Source organism: Homo sapiens, chromosome 15 (assembly GCF_000001405.40).
Source record: "Homo sapiens chromosome 15, GRCh38.p14 Primary Assembly".
Taxonomy (NCBI): domain Eukaryota; kingdom Metazoa; phylum Chordata; class Mammalia; order Primates; family Hominidae; genus Homo; species Homo sapiens.
Genome location: NC_000015.10, coordinates 42,662,771 through 42,683,435, shown reverse-complemented (window position 1 = coordinate 42,683,435; position 20,665 = coordinate 42,662,771). Strand labels below are relative to the sequence as shown.

The window sequence follows — 20,665 nt, the reverse complement described above, 5'->3', positions numbered from 1 at the left end:
GAACTAAAGTGACATGGTGTCTAGAAATTGCTTTAAAAAACTTCAGAAAATGGGAAGGTAGGCAAGTGTGTAAAACCTAATAATTGCTGAATAATATCAGTGATACATGTACTATTCTTCCAACTTGGCATATGTTTAAAATTTTTTCATAATAAAGTTTTTTTAAAAAGCCCACCTGGTACTTTGAAGACCAGAGAGGTGAGCAAACACAACACTAACAGACGTTAATTGTGAACGTCCTATGGACAAGAACCTGTGCTAGGTCCTGAGGATACAAAGAGGTATAAGACACAAACCCTTGCTCCAAGGAGTCTGGGAGATAATACAGCCCTGCCTTGATGGCATGTAAGAAGTAATGGAGAAAAGAAACAAGGAAGGTCCCAACTTGAACCTGGGAGTCAAAAAGATAGCTCAGTCACCAGGTGGGAGGTGGGGTGAGAAAGCTCACTTGATGTGGCAGGTCGAGGAGGGAGAGGGAGGGAGGTGGTGTAGGAGTCAAGAAGTCTGGTTACAGGCATGACAAGATTGAGGTGTGACATACAAGGAAACGTATATGGATAGCCCAGGTCTAAGGAACAGACGAAAAGTGAGGCCGAGATCCTTACTCCTAAGATGTTACCAAAGAAGCAAGAATTGCTACTCAGGGGGTAAGGAAGATGGGAAAGGCCTGAATCTAAAACGATATACACAGAAAGAAGAGTAACCAGAAGATGGAAAAAGTCATGAGGAAGAGAGAAATATACACATTCTTCCATTTCACAGACTGAGGAAATGAGGCATGGGGAAAAACAGAAAACTACCTGGGCAAGAAGGTTGTAAACTTTAACCGAGTGCTTCCCAGTGACAACTACTGGCTGTACCTGTGTAGCTGGGGCATGTGCTTGCTGCAGAGTCTTTGGGGGCTCAAAGAACTGCAACTCGTCAATTTGCTTCTACATGGAGGCCGTGGGACTGTGGCATCAGGGCTGAGGACCTGGTATGGGGGCTCCTGGGTGCTGTCATCCTGGAGCCAGCACAATGTCGTGAGCTTCTCCAGTCTCTTCTGGGCCTCCAGCAGCCTCTGCTTTTTGATGATTCTCTCTAGCTGGAATGAGACCTTTTTCCGCCGGACATTCCGCTCTGCTGCCCGAAGAGTGTGTCTCCGCAGGAGCTGCAGGTGCACCACCCTTTTCTGACTTTGGACAAATGGGGATGGCTGAATCTCAGGATCTGTCTGAAGCCAAGCATCAAGTGCCACAGATGCCTCAAGTTCTTTCTCTGCTACCTGGTCTTCTTGCTGCTGCTGTTGCAAGCTGGCCAGCCAGGTCTCTTCTCTGAGCAGACACTGCTGGTCTGGGAACCAAAAACACCCAGAGAGAATTTCAGCATCTCCTTCCCTGCTTGTGGCTGCCTGGACTCAGATACCTCCAGCCATGGCTGGACCTGTGTGGAGTGAAAGAGCTGGCCAAGGTGATGTGGCAGGGTGAGGGCTGCAGGGCTACAGGGCTCCCTTACCACAAGGTAAGGGAATGAAGACCCTCAGGACTCAGCACAGCAGTGGGCACGTGCTAGGGCAGGCGGTAGGGTATGGATACATGACCAAATGAGGAGCAGTAAGTAGGAGGTCCGTAATTCTGAGGACAATAAGGAAATTAGCGTCCTTATTCTTGCTTCCAGCCCTCTTCTTATAAGAATCTCTGGTGTCTAAAAGAAAAGAGAACACCTAATACCAAAGATTCCATCATATCACAAAGAAAACAAAAGAGAGAATACAGAAGGCTGAGGAAGCATGAAAATGAAAGAATAAGGAGGTGAGGCAGACACATTAAGTGGTGGACACCTACTTTCTTTAATCTGCTGGCTAATCCAAGCTTGGTCAAATTCCAGTTCCTTCGCAGCTCGAATCTCTTCTGCTAGGATTTGATGCCTCAAATCCTCTACGTAGCTCTGCTGCTGCTGAATCTGGGCCCTGTGGGATGTCTCTCCATCCCTCGGTGTCTGATGGTCCTCGTCACATTGCTCTTCAAGCGCTCTCCTGTCACAGAAGCGGCTGAGGTTACCCAAGGGGAAATGCAAACCAAGCTCAGGACAAACTGATAGCAGTGTAAGGCCTTCCAAGAGAGCCCCTGCAATCAACAGGGTAGAGAGTGCTTTGGACTTCTGGCAACCTTGGACAAACAGGCCTGGTGTCACAGGCAGCTTACGATGTCACAGTGCAGGAGGGGAGAATGGTCATTAAACTGGCATAGTCTTAGAGTTGTGGGGTTAGCAGAAACACAAATCCATTTTAGTTAAGGAAAATCACCAGGAAAGTTGTTCTTTTTAAAAAGACACAAAAACATTTTAGCTAAATTCAGAAGTTTGGTCCTTTAAAAAGAACAAAAAGGTGTCTGCTAAAAATATGTTGGAAATACTCAGTAAAGCAGAAGCTCCAGAAACACTGTGGGCATAAAACTCTCTCCTACATATTCAGAGATTGTTACTGCACCTCCATTCCCTGAAACAGAAATCCTCTGTGATCTGGTAGCAAAAGGCAGCTGATAATTTATACACACACCACGCCTGTGTGTGTGTGACCCAAAGGAGAGCTGGTCTCCACTCCAGAGCTGTTTTCAGTGAATGAGCCCTGGAATAGGATTCAAGAGTTTTAGACTCTACCACACCTTTCAAAGATATATACTGAAGCATTTACTGGTGAAATATGTCAAGAATTTGTCTAGATCCAGTGAGAGGGAATGAGGGAGAGTGAGTGTGGATATAAATGAACTAAGATTAGCCGTAAGTTGATAATTTGTGTTGTATTTGAAGTCTTCCATAATAAAAAGCTTACAAAAAAATTTAGATTTTTTCTTTTTTTGAGACAGGGTCTCACTCTGTCACCCAGACTGGAGTGCAGTGGCATGATCTTGGCTGACTGCAACCTCCACCTCCTGGGTTCAAGCGATTCTCCTGCCTCAGCCTCCCAAGTAGCTGGGATTACAGACATATGCCACCACGCCCAGCTAATTTTTGTATTTTTAGTAGAGACAGGATTTTACCATGTTGGCCAGGCTGGTCTCGAACTCCTTACCTCAAGTGATCTCCCCACCTCAGCCTCCCAAAGTGCTAGGACTACAGGCATGAGCCACCACGCCCGACCTAAAAAATTCTAGATTTTAGTCATGCCTTACTCTGCCACCAGGTTCCTATATGACCACAGATGACTCAGAGGCTTACTCTGAAAACTGACAGCTTCTACCTACTTGCTGACCTTTCCCTGGGGGTCACGTAAGGACCTCAAATGCTTTTTCTGCAGGGTATCTTCATCCCTGTCATTTAGGTTTTTAAAGGAGCCAACTGTATGGGCACCCCAGGATGGGCACAGAATGGGAGTGGCTGGGAAGAGTCAGATTCTGCCAGAGGCTAACAAAAAAGTTAGAATCAAGCCTGCTTTATCTAGCCTTCCCCACAATCCCAGGATGTCATGACTTGGAAGCTTGGAGAAGCTTATTGGTTTGATGCTGGAACTATATCTCAGGCAGTATGACCCATACGCTGTAAGGGAACCACTTTTTAGGAGATCCACCACTTTGTAGAGCAGAATGAAATCACACGGGTATCACAGAAGAGGTCCACGAATGAAAGCCTATGAGTCCAAATCTGGTCTGCTGCCTGTTTTTATTAATAAAGTTTTATTAGAACACAACCACACCCATTTATTTACGTACTGTCTAGGGCTGCTTTTGCACCACCCTGGCAAAATTGAGTAGTTGCAGCACAGACCATATGGCCCACAAAGCCTAAAATACTATCTGGCCTTTTACAGAAAATGTTTGCCGCCCCTGCCTTGGAAGAAATTAAGATTTCATAACGCAGCCTTTGGAGGATAGTAAAAGATGGATGGGTGAAGAGTGATAGGTGGAATAGCCCGGGGGAATGGGAGTGGGAGCTGACACAACCACAGTCTCTTCCCAGGGAAGAAGGCTATGAGGTCATTCAATCTGCAACAGGTCCAAGGACTAGGACAGGTCCAGACACTTGAGTGAGTGTGCTCAAAAGACTGGCACTGATTGCTGTGGGCAAAAGGCCAAATATACACAGTGGAGCATACAGAAAGAGGAAGGTTACTCTCTGTTATGTGGAGGCTCAGGATAGCAACTGGAATAGAAACCTGTTAATGCCAAACAAATAGAGAAAGCAGTTAACAGGAAACATACATCCATATGTATCATGCTTGTATTACTGCTCCAAATTTTGTCTGACTATAGAAATGGCTGAATTACAAACATGAGCCCATCCTAGACAAACCCAGCTAAGACCCACAGACCACCAGATGCAAGAGGCTGAGACAGGGTCTTTATCTGAACTCCCTGAGATTACTCAGTCTCCTTGTCTGGCTTTCTCCTCAACCTTCAGATTTACAATCTGCTTCTCCCTAGAAGGGGTGCTCCTTACCCTTCACCTAAGAAAGTGACAGCTATGATATTGTTTCCTGCATAGCCATAGGACCTGCAAGGAGAGGCTGTCTGCTGCCATCTGTATAGATGCAGCACATTCACCCAAGAGGCCGCACAGAATGGTCCCTCTGCTAAGCACATTTTGTCAAGTTCCCAGAAAGCAGGTGAAAAAGAAAATAGCAACCTTATACTACATGTCTGGCTAGATTACAAAGGGCAAGTCTTCATTTACCTGCCAGCCAAGGGACCTCTGTCTTTATCAGGTAATTGCCCTTCATCTCTGATGGCTCCAGTATCCCCCAGCTGCTGCCTAGACACCTGCTTGTGAGGACTCCACTGCACTCTCCTGCTTCTTCTCTCACAGCTGTCCCCCAGCCTCGGGGTCTGGCAGCTTCTGCAGCAGATTGCAGTGGCATCTACTTACTAAAGCCGCAGTGGCAGCGGTGGTGGCAGCGGAAGCAGCAACAGTGTCTCCCAGGCTCTAGGCACTTAAGGTTAACCCCCTACAATTCCAAATGGGAAAATGCCAAGAACACAGGCAATGGTATTCAAAGACAAATTCCCCTCTGGTCCAGATTACTGCTGCAAGGAGAAAAGGAAGGCAGACTGGCCAATTTCCCCTGGCTCTGGAGCTAGCTCCAGCTTTGCAGGCTCCTCATGAATGCTGCTCCAGAGATAAATGAGGGAAAGGAAACCTGGAATAAAGGGAGGCTTTGGAGCCAACCACATCCAAGAGCAGAGGGAGAGACTCGTAGACACACAACCACAAATCCAGACTGGGAGCCCAGCTGACAATTTATATTTTTCTCTAGTCGTGCAGGTTCCTCTCCCTGGTCCCTTTGCCCAATCACGGACTTGAGCACCACACCACACCACCTCCACCAGGGATTGGTACAGATGCTGGCTACAGTAGCTGGGCAGGACCAGCCCAGCCTACAGGCTCCTAGAGCTGGTGCTCAAGAGTGGAGACAGTGGGTGGGAGAGGCCTTGATTCTGAAATTCCTGTCTTCTCTGAATGAAAGGACACATTCTTGTGTGTCTGAAAGCTCATGTCAGTGCCTGTGGGGCTAGAGAGCCATAGAAGACTTTAAAAAGGCAAGAGAAGAGCACAACACCATGATGTACTCTGGGGTGGATAGGTCAGCTGGGTTGAGACAGGAGGACAAGAAAGAGAAAGGGAGGCAGCCTTGCTGGCAGCAATAGGGGCTGTGGGGTGTGTCTGCACCGTGCATATATACTCGCTCTTTCAATCATCCCTGGAAAACAGATAGCAGTATCGTCTCTTTAGAGGTAGGGAAACAGGCTCAGAGGTTCATTGACTTGCCTAAGGTCACACAGCTTTTCTGCAGTACAGCCAGGACGTGAATCGGTTTTGTCTGCTGCAATGCATCTCTTCCATTCTCAGCTATTTAAGTTGCAGTGTTATTTTCTGTAAACCTCTGAACTCTGGGAAAAACAGATCTTCAAAGAGTCTTCCCAACACAAACCTTACCTAAAACAGGAGCTACTTTCATGACTTCACTACAAAAAAGGAAAGTCACTCTGACAAAGCAAAAGCTCCAGCCTAAGTCCTGAGTCCACCTTGTGTCACCTCTTCTACCTTATTCTCCATCCCATAGAGCTCTCAGTTACTCAACACTAGGATCATCCTTCACGCAATTTCTGTTGTAGCATCCTTCACTCAGCAGCTCTCCTATGAGGACTTGCCTGCTGTTCATGCTTTCCTGAATCACAGCATTGTTTGTTTTTCTTTTTTTGAGACGGAGTCTCGCCCTGTCGCCCAGGCTGGAGTGCAGTGGCGCAATGTCGGCTCACTGCAACCTCTGCCTCCTGGGTTCAAGTGATTCTCCTGCCTCAGCCTCCTGAGTGGCTAGGACTACAGGCATGTGCTACCATGCCCAGCTTTTTTTTTTTTTTTTTTTTTTTTTTTTAAGTAGAGACGGGGTTTCACCATGTTAGCCAGGATGGTCTTGATCTCCTAACCTTGTGATCCACCCACCTCGGCCTCCCAAAGTGCTGGGATTACAGGCAGGAGCCACCGTGCCCAGCCCTGATCAGAGCACTTCTGCTCCTGTATCCAACATTCCTCACTGCCAAGGTCAGACATAAGATTGTCTTCATCTGCCATCAAATGCTGCTGGCCTGAGGAAAGAACTGCTGGATCCTTCTGAAGAAACTACGGGCCATCATAACTACTGAGACCCTGTGCTCAAGGTGTTTGGCAGCCTCCCAACACCAGTGATGTCACAGGCACCAAGTCCCCTGCTGAAATTTTCTAAAGGAAATCTCTAAGGCAGAGGTCACTTTGACGTACAGGAATAGAAGGACTCCCAGTACCAAATCTGCAAGGCTTCTGGATCTGGGAAGGGTGTTTTATGTAGAAACGGATGAAGTATGAAGTAGAAAAGTAGTTGCCATCAATCCCATATAAAACTCTGACTCAATGTTTCATAGTTACAATGCAGGCAAAGTGGGTATGAGAGGGTAGAACCAAAAGATATTTTCATATTGTTCCTATAGTTTCTGCCCCTCTATGCACAGTTCTGGATTCTTGGTTATGAGAAAGAAAGCCTTCTCAGTCACACACTATCTTTAAAAACTCAGAGAAAGCCATACGTTCTGGAAGCTATGAGCTCACATACACTACGTGACATATACTATGAGCTCACACACAGGCCAGAACTTAAAGGAGTATATGGGAAGGTAAGCTCAGAACAAAGATGTCCACAAACACAGCACAGCTAAATTTTGTGGAGAGAGAAAAGTGGCCACAGGAACATCAAATAATGTACCTCTTTCAGTGATGAAAAAAGTCGAAATACCAAAGAGGAAATGAACAAGGGCCAAGACCAATTCCCTGCCAACTACGAACTTAGCAGCTAGTTCAGCATCATCAAATGACTTGCCCAAGTTGATTCAGACAAGGGCTCATTCAGACCTTGGCTGCTACATTAATCACCCCCCACCCCCACCCTGATCCATGCTGTCATGGACTAAGAAGCGAACCCAGTAGGTTCCACATCAGTATAAGCAGCTATTTCTTACCTTTCCTTCCAAAGCAAAGGGGAGAGACCCAGCCGGGAGGCAGCGAGATCTCCATCCAAATCCAGCCACTCCAACGAGCCACGACCAGCAGCAGCCTCTCCAACCTTGAACAAGGAAGAAAGCACAGTGAGGCTGCTGTCATCGCCTCCACCTCTCCCAGCTTGGCTTTTCATCTAAAAGGTGGAAACAGGGAGGCCAGCAATAACCTAGAAAACACAGCCCTGCTAACCTGCCTTCGCTGCCGCAGGACAGCAGCCTCTGCTGGGTGGTTGAATCGGAACTTCTGTGCCTTCCCCAGGGTTATGACAGCTCCTGCAGCACAGAGACAAATGAGAATTCAATCAACAGCTCATGTTTTGGAGTACATACTATGTGTACGGCACTGCTCTGTGAGACAAAGTCATGCCCTCGATAACTGATAATTTTGCTGAGTTGATAAGATACATATTAATTCTGCATCTCACAGCATACATCTTGAATTAATAAGACAGACAGGAAGAACTCTACTATTCCAAGGGAAAGGAAGTTGAGTTCCAGGTGGAGTAGTCAGGGAACACTTGATGGAAGAGGAGGAATCTCAGCTCAGTCTCAAAAGAACAGACAGAATTTGCATAGATTAATAACAGTAGCGGTAATTAAAGTAATAATGATAATGAGTGTTTACAGAGTGCAAAGCACACTGTTAAGAACTATAAGGTTCATTCAATCCTCACAATGATTCTATTATTATCCCCATTTTATAGATGAGGAAAGTTGAGGCTCAGAGACTTTCCTAGGGAGACAGAGCTAATTAACACAGGTACAAATTTCATACAGTCATTCTTCACTCCAAGACTTTGGAATTAAGGCTTGTTTATGGGAATAGGATCATATTAGAAAATCTTCAGACTTCAGGGTGCAGAGGCTGGGTGATCCATTTTTAAAGCCTGCTTCACTGAGCTCTTTGGGCCCATGAAACTGGAGCTGGTCCATCACTCATCTTGGGATAAACAGGGCTACAGACAGTCCTACCTTGAGTCAGACGGCAGGAGGCAGTGACCTCCCGGCCATTGACTGTACAGCGGGCCCCACGGGCAGGTCGTAGAACAACTACACCACAGGCACTGGTGATAGTGCAGTGGTCTCTCTCAATCCACTGACCCTGCAGGACTACAAAAGAGGTGGTGGTCACTTGGGTGGGAGGACGATGCAGGGAAACACCCTCTCCATTTCTTTCTGTGAGATCAGAATCCAAAATCTGGAAGACCTCATACCATAATAAAAGAGGAAGAGCTGACCTGAAACCACCCAGACCTGAAATCCTCCCACTGCGTGGGTCTCCCCCTGTGACGTCCCAGACCTGAAACCTAGCAGCAGAAAGAGAAGCAGGCCCTGAATACGCCAATGATTCCCTTCTTCTCAGAGCATCATCAAAGTCCTCGAAGAAACCTTTCGGGCACAAATACTAGCCCCAAAATGCTGGACTCATATACTCTGCCACTTACCAATGTCCTGTTCCTGGTCTGAGTCAATCCTTCCTATTTTTGTTGTCCCTTCCTAAAGGGGGAAAAAAGCCATTTTAATGAGAATTAAAAGGGACAGAGCCTTGCCCTACAGGAGAGTCCACATTAGAATATTCTCACTGTCTTCCCAGCCTCATCTGTACCACTTCTCATCCCATCCCAGCCTGGTCGGTACCACTTCTCAACTTTGGTCCCGGCTGTTCTGACCCTCTGCCCACTCACTCTACAGCCCAGGAAGCCCCTGAGATGGTAGAGCTAAAAAATATACCACAAAGCAGCCCAAGCTATTTGCAAAGTCCAGCAAGTGTGGGCAAACTCCTTTCTGTCCCACAGCCTAAAGTTAGGGAATAGTTACAGCCATTGGTCAGAAAAATTCTCTAGTCCGAGAAAGTACATGCAAAAGTATGGCTTTTCCCTAAGGGGCAAAGGTTGATGTGGTCCAAGTTTGATCCAGTAAGTCTCAATCAAACAAGCATTTTGTGAAGATTTATGGAAACACAGGATTTTTACCTTCTTGGTCCGCAGATGAAGTTTAACAGACACCAGATTCTAAGAAGGGTAAAAGCACAAATAGGAGAAAAGCACCTCTAGAATAAAAAAGAACTGGAAGAGAGTGTAAGAGAGGAGGGGGAAACTGGAGTTAGTACAAATGAATCAGTGGATTAGTTGAAGACAAGGCCTTTTAGACCTCAGATTATGGCAAATTTGCTTAAGACCCACATAGCTATGTTAGGAAAAGGCAGCAACATGGCAACCGGGATGCTAAATTTTAGACATATCTTTATCATTTATTGACTATTCAATATGTCCTAGGCATTATGCTGAGTACTTTATACAAATCATATTACTTTATCCTTTAACAACTCAAAATACAGGTATTAACATCTCCTTTTTATTGATGAGGAATCTGAAGCTCACAGGGGATAAACTGCCTGAGAAACCCACATACCAAATAGAAGAGCTATAACTAGAAATCAGGTCTCTCTGGATCCTAAGCCCCTGCAGCTTTTTCGACTTCATAACACCTCCCCAGTAATGAATGTCTTTTTGTTTATTTTGTTTTGTTTTTTTTGAGACAGAGTCTCACTTTGATGCCCAGGCTGGAGTACAGTGGTGCAATCTCAGCTCACTGCAACCTTCGCCTCCCAGGTTCAAGCAATTCCCTTGCCTCAGCCTCCCAACTAGCTGGGACTACAGGTGCCTGCCACCACGCCCAGCTAATTTTTATATTTTTAGTAGAGACAGGGTTTCACCATGTTGGCCAGGCTTGTCTTGAACTCCTGACCTCAGGCGATCCGCTAGCCTTGGCCTCCCAAAGTGCTGGGATTATAAGCGTGAGCCACCGCACCCAACCAGTAATTTTTTTTTTTTTTTTTGAGATGGAGTCTCACTCTGTTACCCAGGCTGGAGTGCAGTGGCACGATCTTGGCTCACCGCAACCTCTGCCTCCCAGGTTCAAGCGATTCTCCTGCCTCAGCCTTCCGAGTAGCTGGGAATACGGGCACGTGCCACCATGCCCGGCTAATTTTTGTATTTTTAGTAGAGACAGGGTTTCGCCATGTTGTCCAGGGTTGTCTCGAACTCCTCACCTCAGGTGATCTGCCTACCTCAGCCTCCCAAAGTGCTGGGATTATAGGCATGAGCCACCACATCTGGCCCAGTAATGTTTTTAGGGAGACCAGAGAATTCCCCACTAGGCTTCACTGTCAGCAGCCAGAGCAGGGAGGTCCCTGACACTCCTCCAAAATAGCTTGCGAGAAGGAAGAATCCTAGCTATAATGAATGAGGCTCTGTCCGCACTGCATGCCCCTCTGTCCCTCCTCTCTGCAAACACACAAACAGCCAGAGCCAGCCTTTCCTGCTCAGGCACTGAGGACCACAGAAGTCAACAGATGCTAGCCTCCACAAACACTGTCAAACAGAATCAGAGGGCAGTTCAAGGGAAAACGGTCGAAACTTTTCATGTGCGTTCAGGGACAGCCCTTCCAAAAAGATAAAGGCTATGGCACATCATAACTTCTAGATTTGCAGGGTAGAAATTACCAACAAAAGGTGATGGCATGTCAGATGAGGACTGAGCTGGCTGGCATATGTGTTCACTGCCCACCCTGCCTCTTTATGTAGGGAGTGTTAGTGGCACAAAGGCAATTATGAGGATGAAGTCCAGCATATCAGTAACCTGGGCTCTCCCTGTCCTTCCCTCTGTCCTCTTCCCACCCAAGACACTTCCCCAAGGTGACCCAGGAAAAAACAGCTTCCGAGTTGCCAGGGACTAGTTCTAGGTCTGTAACCAACTTAGTGACAAACAAACCAACAAACAAACAACAACAAACAGAATCTTGGGCCATTACTGTTAGTACTATTACCTAAGTCAATAGCTAAACAAACAAAAGGTGGGGAAAGTACATAAAATGCAGAAATGCCAGGATTAGAAGTAGATTAAAATCTCATCACCCAGGTCCACCAGAAATGCACAAGGAAGGGAGTAAAATCCTCACTATGCACTGACTAAGCAATGAAAATCAGCAGTCCAGCGGGGCGTGAGGGCTCATGCCTGTAGTCCCAGAACTTTAGGAGACCAAGATGGGTGGATCACTTGAGGTTAGGAATTCAAGACCAGCCTGGCCAACATGGTGAATCCCCGTCTCTACTAAAAACACAAAAATTAGCCGGGCATGGTGGTTGTGGGATATGATGAAGTTTCTCTTCAAATAGCCTGATCAATCCTTTATTCTTCAATTCATAGTAACCCCCCACCCCTTTTTTTCCTTTTTCTCTTTTTTCTTCCTTTCTGCCTTTATTACATGCCCAGACATGCCACAGTACCAGCGTTATCAGTACCAGCTCACATTCCTTTCCTTATTTAAAAAAAAACTAGCTCTCTAGCTCATTGCAGACACCCCTTCCCCCCTCTCCCTTATGTGCCCACCTTATCCAAAAAGGTTCAGATGTTTAGCCAACCAGGATTAGTTTAGAATGTACGACCCAACCCCAGCCAATGGGGAAGGAGAAAGGGTACAGGAGCAGGACTTGTGTCAGAAATAAAGGCTCTCATGCCCCTTTGTTCAGATGTGTTCTCATGGCAACTGGCCAAGGAGAAGCACCCCTCTGCACAAAAGTAAAATTGCTTTACTAAAAATCCTTTAAGTGTTCAATTTCCTTAAAATTTTAAGCATTATTCCCAACAGTGGTGCATGCCTGTAATCCCAGCTATGCAGGAGGCTTAGGCAGGAGAATCACTTGAGCCCAGGAGGTTGAGGTTGCAGTGAGCTAAGATCGCGCCACTGCACTCCAGCCTGGGTGACACAGCAAGACTCCGTCTCAAAAAAAAAAAAAAAAAAAAAAAATCAGCAATCCTATCTTCAGATGAGTTCATCATTCATCTCCATGTCTACGATTCAATCTAATAGTCATGTCCTTTAACCCTCTGCTGCGACCCTAAGCTCTACTACTTGATTTCTAGCTTCATCTATTCACTCTACATCCAATCCATATATCAGATCAGTTCTACTCAAATAGTGACCATTTTAATCAATCTGGTCTCTTCCTGACCTCCAACCTCTCTCTGTGCTTCTGACTAATGGGAGGATCTATACAGCCATTTGGTGTTTAGTTTTCTTGCTAAGGTAAAAGTTGCCAGCCACTTCTGCCTCAGGCACTTTCACTAAGAAAATTTATACCCTGTATACCAGAAAATAAGCTACTTTAAATTTTCTGTCTGAGCAGCTCAGTCTCTGACAACTTCCCAAAGGGCTTATCCTAAGAACACCGATGAGCTTTGCTAACATCTCACTTCCATATGCCCTGCAGCACTAAGAAGGAGTCCAATTTCTCCAGGGATAACAGCAGCATTACATACTCCCCAGAAACTCTTTGTTCTTTTTAAACGTCAGCTGGGGATAATTATGAGAATGAAAACTAGATTTTCAGTGAGCACAGGGATTTTGAGCATGGGAAGTACGTTCTGCTGTCAAAAGGAACTGTCCTCCCACAGTAGAACACATTGATGAGAACAAGATAAAAGACTCTATCTACCATAGGTCACTAACTCTCAAAACCACTTCAATCAGAAATGAGGACTGGCCTCCAGGTGACACAGAGCCAGGTGGGCCAGGTGCTGTTTGGAAGCTTTAACTTTAATCTTTTTCTAGATGGATGCCTGTCATCCCCTCTTCCCCCACCATCACACTACTCTAGCTCTTTGGACCCTCCCTATGTTTTAAGCTTCCTTTACCTACTTTCTCTGTCTCCTTTTCCAGGTAAATGTAGTGATGGAGAAGTGGGAAGTGTACTGTTTATTTGGGGTTGAATGAAGTGGGGAAGTGTCAGAAGAAAACTTTCAAATCTTCTGAATTCCCTTTAGTCTCTGAAAGCCACCTTTTTTTAAAAACATTATTTTTATTTATTTTATTTATTTATTTTTGAGACAGAGTCTTACTTTGTCACCCAGGCTGGAGCGCAGTGGCGTGATCTCAGCTCACTGCAACCTCCACCTCCTGGGTTCAAGTGATTCTCCTGCCTCAGCCTCCCAAGTAGCTGGGATTACAGGCTCCCACCACCACGCCCGGCTAACTTTTGTATTTTTAGTAGAGGTGGGGTTTCACCATGTTGGCCAGGATGGTCTTGAACTCCTGACCTCAAGTGATCTGCCCGCCTCAGCCTCCCAAAGTGCTGAGATTACAGGTGTGAGCCACCGCGCCCAACCTGAAAGCCACCTTTGAGCAGTCTGTATTTGTAGAGTTTAGGAGCACTAATGGTTATCTTGAGGTTAGGGTTTCACTCTCCATGACTATACCCCTATGCTTCACTAAGCCAGAAAAGGAATATGATAAGCATCATTCTTACTTTAAAATGAGGAAATTAAGGCAAAGAGAACAAAAGTAAGTTACATAAGAACAACAGTAGCAGCAGTTGAAAAACAATTGTTCTGATTTCCAGTCTTCTGCTCTATACATACGAAGGCAAAACAGATCACAATTTGTCAGGTAGACGTTTCCTGAGAGCAAACCTGAAGGCAGCTCTGTAGCATCTGTCTTGATTTCAATTCACAGTAACATGGCTGCTGCTCCTAGCTTTTCCCTCCTTGACCTCTGGAACCAGTGGCTTAGGAAGAAAAGGATACACTAGCCTCCTCACCTTGAGATGATAGAGCACAACACCTGTGCTGAGCACATCATCCTCCAAGGCCATCAAGTGTGGCAGGCTGGAGTCGATGACCACCCCAGCCCTCCTCCTGTTGATGTCCACACTGTAATGCTCCATGAGGGCCTGCCAATCATTCCACTTCTGGGTCCAGTCTTTAGTCAGCTGGTCTATCTGCAGAGGTATAGGAGGTGATCTGAGACACTCAGCATGGGGAACAGACTAAAGGTCAGAAGTCATTACAATCTATTCCTATTTCCCCAGGGTACTGCTTTCTTATGATCCTCCCAGATACTATTCAAAGCCCCACAGAAGCCCTTGTACCTCCTCCAACTGCAAGCTGTGTTTTCCAAGTTTTCTTCAATAAGCAAGTGTTACTTGTATAAACAGAAGCCCCCTCAATAAATGTTATTTTTAAAGTTTTCTGCAATGAACATGTATTGTTTTTATAATTAGAAAAAAACATGTTATTTTCAAGTTATTCTTTAAAAATTAATTGGGATGTTAGACATCTATGTTTATAATTTCCCTTTCCCCACCCCAGTTTTACATGATCCATACTTGGGAACCCTTTTATGACCTACACACTTCTTTCCCAAAGTACAGTACTTTGAGTTATAATATAAGCTTGCACACGGCTCACAGAACCACAAAGCACTGAGAGGAATCTCCCCAGGTGGAACTAAGACTATATGGAACTTGTCTGGAAGATCATGTAATAAGACAATAAAAACAATAATAACAGTAGAATACTGAGTTCTTACTGTGTACCAGGAACAGAGTTTTTAAAAGTAAATGTACCCAGCCTTAGAGGCCTTAAGCTAAGACCACTTTAGGGACATGCACAGTGATAAATGTAGGGTACTTTTTCTTCTTTTAGTGGAAACCGATGCCTAAGCATTGAGCTTATCCTGGGAATGGAAGAACTGAGGAAGCTCAGAAAAAAAAAAAAAAATTAGATTTAGCTAAGTGCTTCTCTCATAAAGGGAATAGTTAAAAAAAATTATGCCAGGTTTAGGTACAAGTGCTTTATGTACCCTAGAAACATTATTTTAATAATCATTGAGTTGAAGTTTGGAAACCAGGAAACTACAGGGTACCTGTAAAGGGCTGGGTTGGATAGGGACCCCTGGCATTGGTGAGTGGCAGGACACTCTGGCTTACAGTTCAGCCAACCTGGCACAGCTGCCCCTCTGGCCAGCTTTCACCACCTACTCCTACACTGCCTAAGATCATACAGCCAACAAGGGGCAGGTTCAAGTCCAGCTCAGCTGGCCTGCATAATGCAAGAATGCTAATGAGTTTGGAATGATTTTGGCTCCACTACTTCATCTCTTAGTATAGAGGGATGATATTTTCTGAACAAAAAATCAGAATACATGACTGAAGGAGGAATTTTTTAGAGAAACTTCTAGACGTGTGATTTAGTCTTGAGGTTTACTAAGGGTGACAAAATGTTAACATGGCCAGGATACTTTAATAACATATAAGGATGATGCAACAGAATATTGGAAATTGAAACGTTTGGTTGTAGGATTTAAATCTAACCTGTCTGCCGGGTGTGGTGGCTCACGCCTGTAATCCCAGCACTTTGGGAGGCTGAGGTAAGCGGATCACCTGAGATCAGGAGTTTAAGACCAGCCTGGCCAACATGGTGAAACCCCTCTCTACTGAAAATACAAAAAATTAGCCTGGCGTGGCAGTGGGTGCCTGTAATCCCAACTTGGGAGGCTGAGGCTGGAGAATTGCTTGAACCCAGCAGGCAGAGGTTACAGCGAGCCGAGATTACACCATTGCACTCCAGCCTGGATGACAAGAGCGAAACTCTGTCCCAAAATAATAAAAAATAGGCCAAGTGCGGTGGCTCACGCCTGTAATCCCAGCACTTTGAGAGGCCGAGGTGGGTGGATCACGAGGTCAGGAGTTTGAGACCAGCCTGGCCAACACGGTGAAACCCCATCTCTACTAAAGATACAAAAATTAGTCGGGCGTGGTGGCGTGAGCCTGTAATCCCAGCTACTTAGGAGGCTGAGGCAGGAGAATTGCTTGAACCTGGGAGGCAGAGGTTGCAGTGAGCTGAGATCGCACCATTGCACTCCAGCCTGGGTGACAGGGTGAGACTCCGTTTCAAAAAAAATAACATAAAAAAATAAAAATAAATCTAATCCGTCAACAAAAAAAACTGCCCACCATTTCTTCCTTTTAAATATCTCTGGGGGCCAGGTACAGTGGTTCATGCCTGTAATCCCAGCACTTTGGGAGGCCAAGGCGGGTGGATTACCTGAGGCCAGGAGTTTGACACCAGCCTGGCCAATGTGGTGAAACCCCGTCTCTACTAAAAACGCAGAAATTAGGCAGGTGTGGTGGTGCACATCTGTAGTCCCAGCTACTCAGGAGGCTTAGGCAGGAGAATCACTTGAACCTGGAAGGCGGAGGTTGCAGTGAGCTGAGATCACAACGCTGCACTCCAGCCTGGGTGACAGAGTGAGACTCCCTCTCAAAAAAAATAAAATTAATAAAAAAAAATGTCTCTGGGAATCACCATTTATTCTACTTTTCCAAAATGTCTTGTCCTTGCCCTCACGGGGTTACAGCAGTCTCTTTCCTGGTTAGTCCCCTGCTTCCAGTCTTCCCACCTTTCAATTCATCCTGCATACAACTATCATATTAATTTTCCAAAGATACTCCTTTATTATGTCACCAACCTGATTCAAGAAGCTATTAATCCTGTTTACACCAAGTTCAAACCTTCTAAATGTGCCCTAACCTTACCTGCACTACCCTCTACCATGAACACCCATTCTAACCAGCTTAGTCTTCCTCACGGTGTGTGCTTCCACATGGCCTCTCACACCCCTTCCTTCTCCCAGTTTCAAGGCTTTGCTTATGTTATCCCTCCCTCACCCAATGCCTTACCCCTTCTCCCTATGTAACAACCCTAGCAAACCTTCAAGGGCTAGTTCAAGGTCAGTTCTCTGCCTTCCAGCACCAACATATGATATCTGCTCTGAAAATCCCAAACCATAATGATTTCTTCCTTCCCTAGACTCTTTCAGCTAAATCACATGGTTCATGAAACACACCATTCTCTAAATGTGTTTCCAACTAGACTGCAAACCATATGAGGGCAGGGACCTCTCTGTACCTCTTGCAGCATCATGCTGAGCACCTATTTGATCCTCAAACAATGAATACATCTTGGTTGACTGATTTAGACAAGAAAACAGTCTTTTGCCCCCAGGCTACTCTCACTATCCAAAGGACTTACGAATCCCTGAGAGAACAATACAGAAAGTCAGAAAGCCATTAACAGTCCCCCTAGGCAAACACATCCCCCGGTCAAGGCTTAAAGGAAACAAACATTGTATTTAAATGAGACAGCTCTTCTCTGCCCTGCCAAGGGAGCAACCCTACCTAGCTCCGGAATAATGGAGGAGCTCCCAGGTGATGTAAAGAACAACTGAGTCCACCCAACACACCCACCTTCAATTCATTTTGGAGAACCAGCTCCTTCAGGTTTTCATCACTCAATGAACTGAAGTTTCTCTGCACAAAGATAGAGATGTGCTTTGATATTTTCCTGGTCTGAACTTCAGGTAGGTCCCACCCTTACACTTGTGGAGGAGGATAAGATGCAGATAAAGGAAAAACTTTATTATTAAAATAAGAAATCAGGAGCCTAAGTATTTGGGCTCATATTGGTACAAAGATGGAAAATACAAAGAAATTTTCCTGGAGGGCCCCATTCTCCGTACCTGCCCACACAGGGCAAGGACCATCCAGGCACAAGACAAGAGATGATAAAGTGAAAAAATGCCCACACCATCTGAAGCTACACTGAGAAATCAGAGAAATCTCTGTTTTGTCTTTGCTCCTGTCTCTGCCGTAAGAGAGTCAATTGAGAACATAGAATGCAGCAGGGCCCAGACTCTATGGAGAAGAAAAGAGGCTCAGAAGGAGAATTTCACTTAAGTACGGAAAGGTTCTGACTGTCTGCATACCAGTTCAAAGCTCAGCAGCAGGGCTTTCAGTCTTTCAATCTCTTCTCTGAGTTCTCTAATCAGTTTTAAGTTTGCATCCTGAAACACAGAGAACTCCATCACCACTGATTGTTATCAAGTCCCACTCAGCTGTGAAATGCTAGTTGCAATTGGCTGGGAAGAGGTAGATTACTCCTTTGGAGTAGTCTCTACAGCAGTCATTCTCAAGTTGTGGTCCCAGGACCCGCAGCACCCACTTCACCTAAGAACTTGTTAGAAACGCACAGTTTGGCCCACCCCAGACCAAATAAATCAGAAACTCTGAAGGACTGGGGCCCAGCAGCATTCTAACAAACCCTCCAGGTGATTCGGATACACACTAAAGTTTGAGAATCATTTCCCTAGAGGTCAAGCAGGTAACACAAAAGCCAGGGCATGTATAGGTAGTAGGTACTAACCTTCCTGTATTGTGACTAAGCCTATACTGCCTAATTACATTGCCTTTTTAAAACAGTGTACGTATGGGGTGTGTGTGTGTGTGTGTGTGTGTGTGTGTGTGTGTTAAAGGATAAACAAAAACCAATGAATTCATACACTCTCCTTTTAATCTAAACAGAGAAGTCACTGCAATTTGCATAGAGAAAAATAAAACACAGACTACTTGCATAAAAAAACACAGGCATAAGACTGGGCACTTTGGCCCACACCTGTAACCCCAGCACTTTGGGAGGCTGAGGTAGGAGGATCATTTGAGTCCAGGAGTTTGAGACCAGCCTGGGCAATATTGTGGGACCTTGTTTCTACAAAAATTTTTTTGAAAACCAGCCTAACATGGTGGCAGGCACCTGTGGTTCCAGCTACTCAGAAGGCTGAGGTGGGAGAATCACTTAAGCCCTGGAGGTTGAAGCTGCAGTGAGCCACAATAGTGCTGCTGCACTCCAGCCTGGGCAACAGAGCAAGACCCCTTCTCAAAACAGGCAAACAAATACAAAAACACAGGAATAAATCAACATAAATTCAAAATAAAAGCAGTAAACACAAACTTTTTAAATGAACTTTCTTAGAGTGAGCCATTATTGCACCACTGCGCTCCAGCCTGGGTGACAGAGTGAGACCCTGTCTCTAAAAATAAAATAATAAAATAAAAAATAAATGACCTTTCTTAGAGTAGTAATGGTAAACTAAGAAATCTTAAGAGGAATGGCCTTAGAGAAGTATCTGAAATAAGTCATTCATAAAAGGTTACTGAATGAAGGCAGTAGAGATAGGAAAGAAGGAGATGACAGTACAAGAAAGAATTCTACTCCCTCATCATCTGGAGGACAAGTCTGGAAAGTTGAGGTGAGTACAAAGAGAAAGAAATCACGAGAGAAAAAAAAATAAGGAAAGCTTTGTGTAAACTATACCAGACCAGGACTTCTGAAAAGGTCTCACCTCATTTACTCGTGGCTTGTTGATAATGTTTTTGGCACTGGATGCATATCTCAGTGTGCTCATGGTCTCACTGTAGCTAGTGTGTGCAGGAGACACCGCTGAGGTAGAAGGAGAAAGTTTAAAAACATGCCAGCCCATCCATCCCAGCTCTTAATCACTTGCCTTGTTACTACTGCCCATGCTGTATAAGACCCCTGATGAAATGAGAAACCTAGGTGGTCATGGCCCTTTCTCTGAGATAGAGTACCAGTCCCAACACAGATCCAGCTCTGGCATCCCACTCACTGGGGCCATGGCCCTTTCTCTGAGATAGAGTACCAGTCCCAACACAGATCCAGCTCTGGCATCCCACTCACTGGGGCCATGGCCCTTTCTCTGAGATAGAGTACCAGTCCCAACACAGGTCCAGCTCTGGCATCCCACTCACTGGCAACCATGATGGTTTTAGAGTTGCCTCCAAGGCTGTCCTTCAGCAGCCAGGTCAACACAGAGTCTCGGTATGGGATATAAGACTGCCTTCGGGAGGGTGCCCCTCCACTGCTGGTCCCAGAAGGAGAGCTAAGGATCCCACTGTCACCACCATTGCTGACTGAGCTGTTGAGGCTCTGGCAGCTGCTGAAAACTTGGGAGTTCTGGGCTTAAAAGATGAAAAAAGAAAATGGAAGAAAGAAGGAATTATGAAGCAAATATATTAAAACAAAACAATGGTTGGAGAACACAGACTTAAGTATCATATTTCCTAATCCCTTCTGCATACAATAGGATATTTTAGGTATTCCTAAAGACTTTAGACTCACGATATGGAATGTTTGAGTCACATAATTTTTTAGACTCCCCTCTTTGAGAAATGATGGTAGTAGGACAGCATTCTACTCTAAAACCAAGGACAAATATCAACTTTTCATGCCCCAAACCAGAAGGTAACCTTATCAAAAGGAACCCTGTGTCTACCCTATTGCGACAAAATGAAAACATGAGTTATTTTCCGAACTCTCCCTCCCACTCCCATTATCTATCAGAAAATACCTAAGGTGGAGATGACAATTCCTAGAGTCACAAGGGACTTGTTGATATTGGCTCCTTCAGCAATGCGGTCCTTACAGTAACTGGGATCTGCTCTTTCGCTAAAACACAGTCAATGAAAAAC

At 45.3% G+C, this 20,665-nt stretch overlaps 1 protein-coding gene across 17 annotated transcripts in view, besides 1 other annotated feature; it reads right to left on the bottom strand.

Moving 5' to 3' along the window:
- The window catches only part of STARD9 (StAR related lipid transfer domain containing 9), a 145,393-nt gene that overhangs the window by 37,563 nt on the left and 87,165 nt on the right, over positions 1 to 20,665 (bottom strand). For 12 of the 17 annotated variants that reach the window (XM_011521831.4, NM_020759.3, XM_011521833.3 and 9 more), the window contains 12 exons: positions 20,545 to 20,642; positions 19,946 to 20,155; positions 19,519 to 19,616; positions 18,106 to 18,183; positions 17,588 to 17,650; positions 14,099 to 14,278; positions 8,945 to 8,996; positions 8,472 to 8,609; positions 7,690 to 7,772; positions 7,461 to 7,564; positions 1,824 to 2,014; positions 861 to 1,332 (listed from right to left, as the gene is read on the bottom strand). In XM_011521831.4, the coding sequence (XP_011520133.1) occupies positions 861 to 1,332; positions 1,824 to 2,014; positions 7,461 to 7,564; positions 7,690 to 7,772; positions 8,472 to 8,609; positions 8,945 to 8,996; positions 14,099 to 14,278; positions 17,588 to 17,650; positions 18,106 to 18,183; positions 19,519 to 19,616; positions 19,946 to 20,155; positions 20,545 to 20,642 (1,767 nt within the window). The remainder of the gene's footprint in view (positions 1 to 860; positions 1,333 to 1,823; positions 2,015 to 7,460; positions 7,565 to 7,689; positions 7,773 to 8,471; positions 8,610 to 8,944; positions 8,997 to 14,098; positions 14,279 to 17,587; positions 17,651 to 18,105; positions 18,184 to 19,518; positions 19,617 to 19,945; positions 20,156 to 20,544; positions 20,643 to 20,665) is intronic. The other 5 variants (XM_017022439.3, XM_047432901.1, XM_011521835.4 and 2 more) reach the window with 3 other exon arrangements.
- Positions 17,101 to 17,673: an enhancer, noted in NCBI's record as "NANOG hESC enhancer chr15:42957961-42958533 (GRCh37/hg19 assembly coordinates)". NCBI's record gives its function as "activates a minimal SCP1, AML or CMV promoter by ChIP-STARR-seq in naive H9 embryonic stem cells {active_cell/tissue: H9 hESC(naive)}" and the evidence as "EXISTENCE:reporter gene assay evidence [ECO:0000049][PMID:30033119]".